We start from the raw sequence: 15,099 nt of genomic DNA, 5'->3' as shown, positions 1-15,099 counted from the left end.
GACTGAATGAAACCTTATGTTCACGCAAAAACTTGTATGTGAATGTTTATATTTGCTATATTAGTAACTATCAGTCATCATTGGATTAGTAATTAATACACACTGAGATACATCCATATAATTAAATTCTACTCAGCAATAAAGAGAATGTACTGCTGATATATACAGCAATGTAGATGGATCTCAATCACATTTTTCTATGTGAAAGAAACAAGACTAAAATGCTAGATACTGAACAATTCCAATTATAAGACATTCTGAAAAAGACAAAACTATTGGGATGGAAAACAGATAGTGGTTCCTAGGGGCTGAGGCTGTGAGAAATGTTTCTTACAAGAGGGGAAGGAGATTTGTGCGGATTACTGAACTGTTCTGTATTTTGACTATGGTTATGTGGCTGTAATGTGTTTGTCAAAACTCACAGAGGAGTACACTAAAAAGAGTGAATTTTACTGTATATAAATTATACCGTACAAAAATGAAAAGAAATGTCAGCAGCAGAACCTTTTTCCTGAGTAATTCATGTGTTCAAAGCCCAGGTGCTATAACCACTTACCTTCCTTGTTCTGAATATAAGCAATGCCAGCATGTATAGTTTCATGTCTGTTTAAGAAGAAATATAGGACAAATTATAGATTTAATAACCCCAACTGTTGTCTAAAAGTTGAAGTCATTAAAAGCTATTTGACTAATAGCAGCTTTAAAAAATCTAAATTCATGCTAGAGTATTACATTGCTGAATGACTAGATTTCAGAGAAAGTGATTGATTGCATTATTGAGGTACACATGTTTTACTGGTCTACCCATAAATTACCTTTAGCTCCAGAACTATAGTAATAGATTCTCATTTTAGAATAGTTTACTCCATTTAAAATTCCATAATTTTTTTGGTGTGATCCTCTGCTTATTTTTATCTTACTCATTTGTGAAAATAATTTTAGTTTCATCTTATTCTGTGAAAAACTACCTTCCTGTAGAAGTTCGTAAAAGCTGGTAGTAACTATTTTGAATGACTGATTTCTGAGGAAATAGTAAAGAATGTGGAGGTCTTTCTTGGCATATTCTCATTTCGAGAGAAAAAGTCGATAATTACAGACAAATCCTATTTCACATCTCTATTGGGGGGGTCACAGAGGGCCATCTAACTTATATACTGAGAAAGTCTTACTCCATGCTGTATTAAGGAACCAAAATGCTCACATATAGATATGACCTTTAACATTTGAGGTTAAATTATTTAATTACACAATTACACACCCACTACTATTTATAAAATAGAGATAATTTGCTTTCTAAATGACAAAGTTTCAGTCTTCATTTCCCTTCCCTACAAAATTTCTACTGATGTATGTGCACAATAACATTTGGTTATTTGAAGGAGGACTAGTGTTTTTGAAACTACATTGACAAACCTGTTATATACTGAACTACTAAAGTAGTAGTTCAGTTATCTCCACCAGACCATTGGACACTGATGGTGGCTCTTTTGTCACAAGCTCTGCTTCTTTCGGTAATTTCTACAATTACTGAACCTGCACCCTTCTGCCCTCTGACACCTACTTATTCACAGACATTTAAAGTAATTTCCTTTATGCAGATCTTGATTTGTTATCAGAAATCAGTATTTTGAAGACTTTTTCTTCACGGATTACTATCATTTCAAAATCAAAATATTTAGCAATTGCTGAAAGCTCTCAGAAATATTCCGTGCACGAGCTGACAGGAAACTGTAATCAAATTGTCAAGCCATTGCTCTGACTGTGGCAAAGTGAGAATGTTAGATTACATGTGTCAGCATGGGAAGATAATGGCTGCACAGTGAACTGCATGCTGAAGGCTTGATAGCAGAAAGGAAGTTTATCGCTGTAAACTGCAACCTATTGTAGACAGTAGTGCCACCTCAGCATTCCTTCCTTTGCATTAGGAACTCTTGATGATCAATAATGTGTCTCAGTTTAACCATTTGGAAAGCCTTCTGAAAATTCCCGGCAAAATGTGTTCTGTCAATTAATTTGTGCTAATCTGCAAGCCAGGGTTAAACAACTAATGGTTTTGAATAGATAATTTTGGTCTGTCTTTCTCAGACTGGATCTAATATAGCATTCATACATTTATTTCAAATGAGTGGCTATGATAACAAGAGAACAAATGCTCTTCTGGCTAAAATGCATACTTTTTTAAAAAAAATCTGGTAGCCTGTTTTCTTAGGCATTGAAAGATTTATTGCCAATCTCTTCTCTGGTTTTTCCCCCGGTCACTGCAAGACCTTTAAGGTTCTTGGGCATCCTCCCCTCCCCCTGTGGCAGTTTTGCAGCCTCCACCAAGGGCTTCTCAGGCTATCCATTATTCAGTGCCTCAGAGTGCTGCAGCTATCTCCAAGGCCTAATCACTCAGCATCCAGTGTGCCTTCTCCTCCAGAGGCAGGGGAAGGCTGCAGAGTTTGAGGTCAGTATGTGCTGACTTCTTTGCTCTTTTATCTATCTTGGCAGCCAGATATTTTAAGGCACTGTATTTATTATTCACTTGCAAGACCAAGGTGGTGATTTTTGTAACTGATGTTGTGGTGTACTTGGTGTTTACTAAATAAATACATACTTTATGATGTGCATTGTTTATTAAGTTAAAAATTATTCTACTTGAGTGTACTTTTTGATATTTTCCTTTTCTTTCTTTCAAAAAAATACTAATTTCTTTTTTTCAGTTTGCTTTATAAATGTATTTCTGCATTGGGTTCAATATTCTGAACACCTAAGGTATTTTCTGGGATGATTTTGGCATTTTGGGAAGTAACATGAGCTCCTGGCCCTTTGGCTACCACTTCATAATTACCTATTTAGATACCCTGAAAAAGACATCAGCCACCAGAGAGTTGATGCAGCTCCTCTGAGCATTAAACTTTCTCGCCAAAAGCAGTTAGGCTCTGTGAGACAAGTTTTTTTTTTTTAAGCAAGTATCTGCAAAACTTAGAGAAGATTTGGATGGAGTCACTTTTCTTTTGGAGCACACGCTATAAGACATCTCATCACCTAAAGGGGAAAAATAACTGGACACTCCTAGGGCTTATATTTGGGTATATTGGCACCAGTCTCCCCTCCACTTCCATCCCCTACATGCCCCAAGCCCATGATCCATTCAACACTCCTCCAGCCTTGCAGCAGCATAGGTAGCTTTCCGGAGTAGATGATTAAATTTTCTGTGTCTGTTTTCATATATATTTTAAAGTGATTGAGGGGCTTAATTGCCCTTTCAGACCTACAAATAGTAAATAAACTGGCACATGATACGTGTCCAACACAGGCTCATGAGTTTTCAAATACTTATAGTATTTTAAAGTATTCCAAATACTTATGGAAGATGAGGTATCTTACTCCTTTACTCTAAAATAATTTTTATGTAAGAAAAAATACATTCTTTAGTAATTGTTATCTAAGCAGTACCTGTGATGTTACTAGGGGACATCAGATGAACTGAAGAGTCAATCCTTTCTTTCATCTTTGTTTTTATAGCCTCCTTCAAAGCATCCCATACAGTAGAACAGTTGGGGCTCCTGCTTCTTAAGATGGGTCACAAGAAATCCTTGGGCAACTGCGTTATGAGTCTCAGGCCAATAACAGGCCCACACCTAATATTTGTGGTTTCTACCTAGGACCAGACAACAGAGGACCCTGGATAGCATCCCAGGCCCTCTGATGCAGAAGTCTGTGCAAGGGATATCAGCTTTAGCCTGGATCAATGGACAGTGAAGAAAATCAACAGCAACATTTAACTCTCTGTTGCCTTGCATTGTCTGCCTTATGTATCCTGTAGTATCTTGTCTTTACCTTCCCAATGTCTAAGGTCTTCAAGGCAGCATTCACAGTGCTTTTGCAAACTTTACAGTGCTTGCCATAGGGCTGGGGACACAGCAGTAATGATGTAATTAAAATTTTAGTATTTTAGAACTGTATAATGATTTAGGTTTTTATAAAACTCCTTGAACACAGCCTGCAAGATAAATATTATATACAGACATGAAGCAACCATATTTAAAGAATAATGCATGACTTGGAAAATGCATTCCTGCAATTTAAATCCATTGTTTCTTACACAGCCTTACTGAACCCTCTTCTTTTTAATTAGGCTTGATATCAACTTCTTCTGAGGTTAGCAGCCATTAATCTCTATTTCCTCTATGTTCCCTTAACAATTTTTTATACTTTTTTTTTAGCAATTCTTGCATTTTATTTATATTGCTGTTATGTCAGTGTCTCTTAGCTCCCCTTCTGGTTTGTGAAATATTAGGGCAGAGATCAAATTGTACTCACCTTTGCATTATCCTATACATTGCATAAAGGTTCATTTCTTGCAAGCACTAAGTAAAAGTTTCTTTGAAATGAATTCTAGGAAATACCAAATGCAGTGTCTCTTCATTAATTTCACTTTAGGGTGAGAAGAACTATTGCACAAATAAATTGTCTTTTATACTCTGTAGACCTTAAGGAAGGCCATACCCTCAAAAATACACTATTATGTAGCCATGGGTACTGTCAATAAAAACAACACTTTTGGTAAAGAGTTATTTTAAATTTGAAAAGTGACTCATTTCATTACATATCACTATCCATAACTTTGTTAATTAAGGCTCTAGTTAGATTTACTTGATAAAATTGCTAATATAAAAATAATACTTTATAAGTTATAAATTGAGGAAGGTAAAAGTTTACCCTCTCAAAATATGGTTTAAGAAGTATTAGAATGTGACTCACAAGTTACTATCAGTTTTCAAGAGAGCATTTGTTTTTTAGGCAAAGTTGTTCAGAGTTGAGGAAGAGAGTGGAAAAACACATATACATATATATATATATTTTTTCCAAAACTGGGATGATTTGTTACTTCAGTAATACAATGTGAACAGCTTTTAGCTTCACAATTATGCAGGAGATTTCCTGTCTCTTATAAAAAGCCCTTTTCACATTACAATAAGAAGTCCCATTCTACCTTTCCACCCACTCATTGTATTTTTTAACTTATTGTCAATTATATTTTGACAGTACCGCCCAGATGATGATTACATATGCTATCTTTTTCTGTATCACCTTTACTAGCTGATACTCAAAAAATCATGTGATAGGGTCTTATAGCTACCAGTAGAGGAATTATAAATTAAAAGTGGGGATGCGAATGATGTTTATGAGAACCCTGATGATTGACATATCATTTGTGCTAAATGATTCACTCCCCAGGGGTGTCTTTATTATTCTGGAAACTGCATCTCCTTATATTCTTTTTTCCCTAAACACCACATTATGCTTCTCAATCATTCTTATGCTTTTCATTTTCCTTCTCCCTGATAGGGCCACACACCTCCTGAAGTGATGTGCCTTCTGAGAGATACTTTATAGGCTATTGTTTTTCCTTTGGCTAAGTATTAAAACATAGTCAATAATTAAATACCACAAACTGTCTCCATAAGCTGGGAAATAGCACTGAGTAGCCATGTTATTAATTTTGCTTTTGAATTGTGCTAGTGCAATGTAAACTAGATGATACTTAGCAAAGGTTACTTAATTATGTAAACATTTCTTGTTTCGCTTTTATTTTTTGGAAAATCTGGTCAAAGTCAACTATCTAATATGCTGACTACAAAGGTTGATGAATTTGGACCTCTATTTTTATAATGAGTCTTAAATATCCTACCACTTTGCGCATTTTCTTCCAACCTCAAGCCTAATAACTCGTTCTCAGGTTTATCCTCTATGACCTCTTAGCAAAGCATTACCTTGTACTATTTTTTCTTTTCTTTAAAGCTAAACTCTTACTTGCCTCTAGGCCTTTAAAAGTACATTTCCCTTTCAGTCTGAAATGTTCTACTTTTATTTTGTTTTTTTCTTTTTACCTTTGCCCTTCTCCATCTTTTTTTTTCTGTCTGTATAATATTCTACTTTAGAGTCCTAGTTTAAAAGTTATTTCTTCAAAAACTTCTCTTAAGGATGGGTGTTAAAAAGGTAGGGGGCGGGGGGACGTTTAACAGTAATAACACATAAAATTAATATTTACTAAGAATTAGGGTAAAAAAAATAACTGACCAAAAAGATAAAAGATATTTGGACCTTCCAGGCTGCCCACTCTACTTGGGAATTCTTCTTCTCTCCCCAGATCTAGAAAGCTCTGCCTCTTTTCCTGACTTTCCATTCCCTCTTATTTCCAGCAACTACTTTGATCATCTCAGCTTTCTGACCTTCTTCTGAGAGAAAGCCACTCTGGTGTGTAAATTTTGGTGGAAACAGAAGGGTAATATGTAATGGTTGACTATGTTTTAATATATTTTAAAATATTTTTGTCCTTTTCTCTCTCTGAGGCAGGCTGAGAGAGTGACATTGCTTATTCCCCAAGTAATCAAAACAATCTCCTTTAACTCTCAAAGGTAAATGATCCCTGCCTCCTTCTTCCATGTTAATTATTCTAGGACCACAGACAGATTCTCTAAGGCAGTGGCACATATTTTGGGGAGAGTTGGAAGGAGTGCAGGGTGGTGTGGCTGGTGTAGGGATTATGGGTGACTTTCATGGAGCTCCAGTAGTAGAAGAGAAGGTCTTGGTATCAAGGTGGTGGAAATAGACTAGATAAAGAAATGGTGGGCTATGAGAGAAATGTAAAGGACTCTCTCAGGATTTTATAATCTGGTTTGTGACACCAAATTGATCATGAGGCCACTAAATATCTAATATCAGTATACATGATTAAGTGTTCAAAAAAGCACTATAGGGATTGAGGAGAAAATGAAATCAACATGACCCAACAAGCTAAAATGTGGAACTTTTAGACATTTTCCTTTTTTTCCAATCGTTTTCACTTCTTTAAATGTGTACTAGTTAGTGGCTGTGGAATAGGGGTTAAACCCCACTACCCCATAATCTCCATCAGAATTTTAAACAAAAATGAAAAAATAATTAAAAAAATTTATAATAGTGCTTGCTATGGAAATACCACTGCAAGAAAAGTGCCTTATCCTAGGTTTCCCAATTGGTATGTCATGAATCCTACAAATGAGCAGTGGTGGTAAATTTTTATGTAGTGAAAGAAATATCAGCCATTTAAAAGTATTATACATTTACTTTTTTTTTTTTAAGATTGGCATTATAGCTGAATAGTATTCAAATGCTGACATGGTTTTTCTCTGTGTCCCCACTCAAATCTCACCTTGAATTGTAATCTCCATAATCACCATGTGTCAAGGGCGGGACCAGGTAGAGGTAATTGAATCATGAGGGTGGTTTCCCACGTGCTTTTCTTGTGATAATGAGTGAGTCTCATGAGATCTGATGGTTTTATAAGTGTCTGGCATTTCTCCTGCTTGCACTCATTTCATGCTGCCACTCTATGAAGAAGGTGCCTTTTTCTCTTTGCCTTCTGCTATGATTGTAAGTTTCCTGAGGCTTCCTCATCAACACGGAACTGTGAGTCAATTAAACCTCTTTCCTTTATAAATTACCCAGTCTTGGGTATTTCTTCATAGCAGTGCAAGATGAACTAATACAGTAAATTGGTACCAGGAATTGGGTGCTGCTGTAAAGATAACCAAAAATGTGAAAGCAACTTTGGAATTGGGAAACAGTCAGAGGTTGGAACAGTTTGGAGGGTGCAGAAGATGGGAAGATGTGGGAAAGTTTTGAACTTCCTAGAGACTTATTGAATAGCTTTGAACAAAATGCTGATAGCAATATAGATAGTGAGGCCCAGGCTGAGGTGGTGTCATAGAGATGAGGAACTTGTGGGGAACTGGAATAAAGGTGACTCCTGCTCTCCATTAGTAAAAGACTGGGAGCATTTTGCCCCTGCCCTAGAGATCTGTGGAACTTTGAACTTGAGAGACATAATTTAGGGTATCTGGCAGAATAAATTTCTAAGTAGCAAATCATTCAAGAGGAAGCAGAGCATAAAAGTTTGGAAAATTTGAAGCCTGATAATGCAATAGAAAAGAAAAACCCATTTTCTGGGGAGAAATTCTTAGGGAATAAGCAATGTCACTCTAAACCTGCTGCAGAAATTTGTATAAGTAACAAGGAGCAGAATGTTAATCACTGAGGCAATGGGGAAAATGCCTCCAGGGTATGTCAGAAACCTTCATGGCAGCCCCCCCCCATCATAGGTTGTGAGGCCTAGGAGGAAAAAATGGTTTTGTGGGCCAGGTCCAGGGCCTTCCTGCTTTGTGCAGCCTCAGACATGGTGTCTTGTATCCAGGCTGCTTCAGCTTCAGCCATGGCTAAAAGGGGCAAAGGTTCAGCTCAGGCCATTGCTTCAGAAGATGCAAGCTCCAAACCTTTGAGGCTGCCAAGTGCTGTTGAGCCTATGGGTGCACAGAAGTCAAGAATTGAAGCTTGAAAACCTCCACCTAGATTTCAGAGGATGTATGAAAACACCTGGATGTCCATGCAAAAGTTAGCTGTAGGGGCAGAGCCCTGATGGGGAACCTCTGCTCGGGCAGTGAGGAAGGGAAATGTGGGGTCAGAGCCCCTACACAGAGTCCCCACTGGGACACTGCCTAGTGGAGCTGTGAGAAGAGGGCCACCATCTTCCAGACCCCAGAATGGTAGATCTGCTGTCAGCTTGCACCATGTGCCTGGTAAAGCCAGACTCAATATCAGCCTGTGAAAGCACTTGGAAGGGGAGCTGTACCCTGTAAAGGCACAGGGGCAGAGCTGCCCAAGGCCATGGGAGCCCACTTCTTGCATCAGTATGACCTGGATTTGAGACATGGAGTCAAAGGAGATCATTTTGGAACTTCAAGGTTTAATGACTGCCCTATTGGATTTCAGACTTCCATGGGGCTAACAGCACCTTTGTTTTGGCCAATTTTTCCCATTTAGAATGGGTGTATTTACTCAGTGACTGTACCCCAGTTGTATCTAGGAAGTAACTAAATTTCTTTTGATTTTACAGGCTCAGAGGCAGAAGGGACTTGCCTTGTTTCAGGTAAGACTTTGGACTTGGACTTTTGGGTTAATGGTGGAATGAGTTAAGACTTTGGGGGACTGTTGGAAGGGCATGTTTGTGTTTTGAAATGTGAGGATGTGAGATTTGAGAGGGGCCAGGCATAAAATGATATGGTTTGTCTCTGTGTCCCTGCCCAAATCTTACCTTGAATTGTAATCCCCATAATCCTCATGTGTCAAGGGCAGGGCCGGGTGGAGGTAATTGAATCATGGGGGTGGTTTTCCCCATGCTGTTTTTGTGAAAGTGAATGAGTTCTGATGATATCAGATGGTTTTATAAGCATCTGGCATTTCTCCTGCTTGCACTCACTCTGTCCTGCTTCCCTGTGGAGAAGGTGCCTGCTTCTCCTTTGCCTTCCACCATTATTGTAAGTTTCCTGAGACCTCCTCAGTAATGTAGAACTGTGAATCAATTAAACTTCTTTCCTTTATAAAGTATCCAGTTTTGGGTATTTCTTCATAGCAGTGTGAGAATGGACTAATACAAATGCTAACTCTGTTAAGTTGATGAATAGAGTAATTGTGTATTGGTTCTTAAGATTTTATATGTGGTACCAATAGCTAGAGACTGCTGTCTAGGAGCCATAGCACCATATCACTTCCCTCTCACCTTCCTATTGAATCACTCCCATTTTGTCCAGTTAATTCTCTAATTGGTGTTTTGTTTGCTTTTTTAGGAGCACAGACCCTGACACTATACCCCTTGGGTTCAAATCTTCACTTTACCACTTGCTAGTTGTTTGACCTTAGGCAAAATTATTAAATTTTCTTTTTACTAAATTTTTTCTCTTCTGTAAAATGAAGATAATAGTATTTGCCTCACAGGATTATTGTGAAGATTATTTGTTTCTTTTCCCTTGCTTCATTTAGAATCATTTCTTTATCCTTGACCTCTGGGAGTCTGATTATTAAATGTCTTGAGGTAGGCTTCTTTGGGCTAAGTCTGCTTGGTGTTCCATAACCTTCTTATACATGGATATTGATGTCTTTCTCTAGGTTTGGAAAATTCTCTGTTATTATCCCTTTGAATAAACTTTCTACACCTGTCTCTTTCTCTACATCATCTTTAAGCCCAATAACTCTTACATTTGCCCTTTTGAGGCCATTTTCTAGATCCTGTGGGTATGCTTCATTCTCTTTTATTCTTTTTTCTTTTCTTTCCTCTGACTGTGCATTTTCAAATAGCCTCACTAATTCTTTCTTCTGCTTGATCCATTCTGCTAGTATGAGACTTTGACTCATTCTTTAGCATTTCAATTGCAGTTTTCAACTCCAGAATTTCTGCTTAAGTTTTATAATTTTAACCTTCTTGTTGAATTTGTCTGATAAAATTTGGAATTCCTTATCTGTGTTACTTTGAATTTCTTTAAGTTTCCTCAAAATCCCTATTTTGAATTCTCTGTCTGAAAGGTCATACTTCTTCAGTTTTCCAGGATTGGTCCCTGGTGTCTTGTTTAATTTGTTTGGTGAGGTCCTGTTTTCCTGAATGATCTTGGTTCTTATGGAAGTTCACTGGTGTCTGGGCATTTAAGAGTTAAGTATTATAAACTTTGCAGTCTGGGCTTGTTTGTGCCTGTCTTTCTTGAGAAGACTTTGCAGATATTTGAAGGGACTTGGGCCCTAAGCTGTGGTTTATGTAGATTCATAGAGGTACTGCCTTGGTGGCCTTGGGTAAGATCCAGAAGAATTCTTTAGATTACCTGGGAGACTCTTATTCTTTTCCCTTACTTTCATGGAGACTTTCTCTGTGCTGAGCCACCTGGAACTGGGGGTGTGATGATGTAATCACTCCTGCAGTCACCAGCACTGGGACTGTTCTGGGTCAGACCTGAAGCCAGCACAGTACTGGGTCTTGCCCAAGGCCAACTGGAACCACTACCTAGCTACCACTGATATTCACTCAACACCCTAGGGATCTATACTCAACAGATGATATAGCCAGCCAAGCTTGTATCCCTCCTTTCAGGGCAGTGAGTTCTCCCAGACCCTGGGTGGGTCTAAATATGCTGTCTGGGATCCAGGGATTGGAGTCAAAAACCTTAGTAATTTGTTTGATATTCTATTCTACTGTGGCTAAGCTGGCACACAAACCAAACACAAAGTTCTACCCACTCCCCCCTCCTCTTTCCACAGGCAGAGGAGCCTCTTCAAGTGGCCACCACCGCTGCCCATGGGGAGTTCAGCCAGGCCACTGCTGAGGTTCACTTAAAGCCTGAGTGCTCTTCCATCAGCTTGTGGTGAATGCTGCCAGGCCTGAGACTCACCCTTCAGTGCAGTGGGTTCCCCTCTGGCCCAGGCCAGGTCCATAAATGCTGTACAACAACCTAGGCCTAGACTTGGGGACTGCAAGAGCCTACTTTTTACTTTACCTCCCTATGGTCGAGCTGGTCCCCAACGTGTAAGACAAAGTCCTCTTTGTTTTTCCTCTGCTTTTCTCAAACAGTCTTTCACTGTATCCAGCACAGCTGGGAATGTGCTGGGTTATACCTGAAGTCAGCACATCTGGAGCCCAAGGCGTATGGCATACTACCTGGGTTTGCTGCTGGTTATTCAGGGCCCAAGAGCTCTTTAGTCAGCAAGCGATAAATCCTGCCAGGACTGGGTCCTTCCCTTCAAGGCTGTGGGTTCCCTTTTGGCCAAAAGTGTGTCTAGAAATGTTGTCTGTGAGCTATGACCTGGAATGGGGGCCTTGTGACTGTGCTAGGTGCTGTATTCTACTGTGGCTGAGCTAATATTCAAGATGCAAGACAAGGTCCTCTTTGCTCTTTACTCTCCTCTCCTTAAGCAAAAGGAAGGAGGTAATTTTGTTGCTGTAAGCTGCACTGCCTGGGGTTGGGGGAAGGGTAGTGCAAGCACTCCCTTAGCTGCCCTGGCTTGTGTCTCCCTAAGTCACACGCCACCCTAGTTCTCTGGCTCTCAGCCCAGCCCAGCACTAGGTGTTGCCAGGGAATTGCAGTCCTTGTGTCCTCGACTGCCTTTCAAGTTTACCCAGGATCACTTTGGCCAATGGCGGTGAGGCTTGCTGAGAAACTCAAGTTCCCACCACTGATGGGCAATTCCCCTCTAGGTAGGGCTGGTCCAAATGCTCCAGGGGTGCTGACTGAGCCCAGTGTGGCTTTGCTCTCCACTATCACAGGGCAGCACTGAGTTCAATGTAAACTTCCCAAGTTGCTGCACTCTCCCTCCCTCAAGTACACAGACTCTCTTTACCTCTCTTTACCTCTCCTCCAGGAGAGGAGGGGTTCTGTCAAGGAATCCAGCTGTCTCTCTGACACTCTTCAATGCCTCTTTCAGTGATGTGAATTTAAAACCAACACTCTGATTGCTCAGCTAATTTTTGGTTCTTTCGAAAGTGCTTTCCTGTGTGTAGATAGTTGTTAAAATTTGCTGTTCCTGCAGCTGGGATGAAGGGTGTAGGCTCCCATTCTGCCACCTTGTTACACTTTCTATCATGAAGATTAAATAAGCCTCATAAAGCAGTTAGAGCAGTGCCTGGAACACAGTCATGCTCAGTAAGTGTTAGTGATTATAATTCTAATTATTAACAAGTGTACATAAATCAAACTTAATAGACCCCAATTTTTTGAGTATATTTTTTCTTCTTTATATAATAAATATATTTTTGTGTTAACAATGAAACAAAGTCTTCTCCTTGATTAAATTTTATAATAAATTATATTTGTTTCTCAGAGTTAAAATTTTGATTATTCATAACAAATATTAGATTGGTACAAAAGCAATTGTGGTTTCAGACCATGAATTTTAAATCATTATAACTAGGCTCAAACACGTCTTTATTAATCAAAATAGGAACTATTACAATCAACACATTTTTGCCAATGAGAAATAAGTTTATTTACTCCTGTAGCATAAAAATCCATGCTCTGGGATTCAGTGAACTCTTGGAAAGCATTTTCTGCATCCTTCTGGTTGTGGAAGTGTTTTACCTGCAAAAAGTAATGGAGATGCTTGAAGAAGTGGTAGTTCGTTGGCAAAAGGGCAAATGAATATGGTGGATGAGGCAAAACTTCATAGCCCAATTTGTTCAGCCTTAGAGTGCTTTGGCGCTTCTTCTCAGTCCAGCCACTAAGCTGGCCATTGATGGTTGTTATATAAAATACATTTTTTGTCGCATGTCACAATTTGATCGATAAATGGTTCATTGTTGTTGCATAGGGTAAGAGAAGACAACACTTCAAAATGATAATTTTTTAAAAAAATTTTTGCTCAGCTCATGAGGCTCCCACTGTAAGGGATAATTGGAAGGACAGCCAAGAAAGGAATGAGGCCAATAGACCCAAGTTCAGGCAAGCTAATTTATTGTCAGTCCTGCCGGGCTACCTCCTGACAAAAGCAGAGGAGGCAGCCACACTTACAGACTACAGCAGGGCTTTATAGGATGAGGAACTGGGTCAGGGTCGGGGAGCTGATTCGGGGATGCAAGTGTCTTGTCCGCATCCTGGAGATGTTTTTTGCCAGCTTTGTTATGTGAGGTGAACAGACGTTAATGGCATCCTGTAACTGCCTGGACAAACAGTTAGTGGAGGGGTCAGTGAAGTGGGGGGTTTGTCTTTTGCCCTGGGGTGACTGTGTGGAGAGCGCAAGAGACTGTATTGTAAGGCCTGTGGGAGGGGAAGGGAATGGTCTGCTTAGGTGATCCTAACACCCACTTATTAAGCTTTTTCACCTTTCCAATTTGCTTCAAATGCCGAACAATCATAAAATGGTCAACGATGAGTTCTTCGGCAACTTCTCGTGTAGTTGTCAGAGGATCTGCTTCGATGATTGCTCTCAACTGGTTGTTGTCAACTTCAATGGCCGACCACTGTGCTCCTTATCTTCAAGGCTGTCTCCTTTATGAAACTTCTTGAACCACCACTATACTGTAGGTTCATTAGTAGTTCCTGGGCCAAATGTATTGTTGATGTTGCAAGTTGTCTTCACTGCTTTATGACCCATTTTGAATTCAAATAAGAAAACTGCTGAATTCACTTTTTGTCTAACATCATTTCCATTGTCTGAAATAAACATAAAATAAACAGCAAGTAATAAGTCTTTAGCAAAAAAATAAAATAAAGCGAGAAATGCCCATTATAATAATGTATAACATAACTACATTTATTTAAGAATGTATTCCAATATCAAATGGCAAATTCCAACAATGCAAAAACCACGACTACATTTACACTCACCTAATAGTAGCTAAATAAAATTCAACTAATTCTGTAAAAAGGGACTATAAGCCACTACATGTACAGAAGCTAATATATGTGGTTATACATGACTATCAATAATATTTCCATAATGTAATATTTCCAGAATTGTAATTGTTTAAATAAGTAAAATTAATGTTTATTACTTCCTGTTTTGCTTAGTGTATGTTTAAGTCCTCATATTTTAAATTTTCTTAAAAATACAGATGATATAATGTAATAATTTTAAAGTAAATCATTTGGAGTTTTTATAGCCTATATTCCCTCTAAATATTTTAAGTTGATTTTTATAGACATATATTTTTGCATCTTAATAGACAACTTTTTGATTAAAAGTGGAAAACAATCATACTCCCAAAATAAACACAATAGTACAAAAATAAGTTCTCATTAAGTAATATAATGAGAATTTTCTTAAAAACGCATTAGAGAGGTTCTATATTTCTTTCCTTCCTCACCTGAAATATTTTTGCATGAAATAGTGGAAAGTGAATCAATGTTATAAGAAAATTTTTGGCATCTTACCTTAAGGCATTTACTTTTCTCAATAAATATTTGTTACTTTAAAGAAATAGTATTTAGCTTATTTATTGTTGCAGACAAATTATGCCGAAATTTAGTGACTTAAAACAACAAACATTTATGTTCTCACAATTTCTGTGGGTTGGGAATTCAGGCATGGCTTAACTGAGTTCTCTGGCTCAAGGTCACTCATGAGCTTGACTGAAACCAAACTTTGGATCAGGGCTGTGGTCTTTTCTGCAAGCTTGATGAAGGAAGATTCACTTCTAGATCTACTCCGTGGTTGTTGGCAGGATTCACTTCCTTGTGGTCTGTTAGACTAAAGCCTCAGTTCCTCACTGGCCCTTAGTCAGAGGCCTCACTTAGTTCCCTACCACCTGAGCCTCTTGAG

This window comes from Homo sapiens, chromosome 1 (genome assembly GCF_000001405.40).
Source record: "Homo sapiens chromosome 1, GRCh38.p14 Primary Assembly".
In the NCBI taxonomy this organism is placed as follows: domain Eukaryota; kingdom Metazoa; phylum Chordata; class Mammalia; order Primates; family Hominidae; genus Homo; species Homo sapiens.
This window is presented reverse-complemented; position numbering follows the sequence as displayed.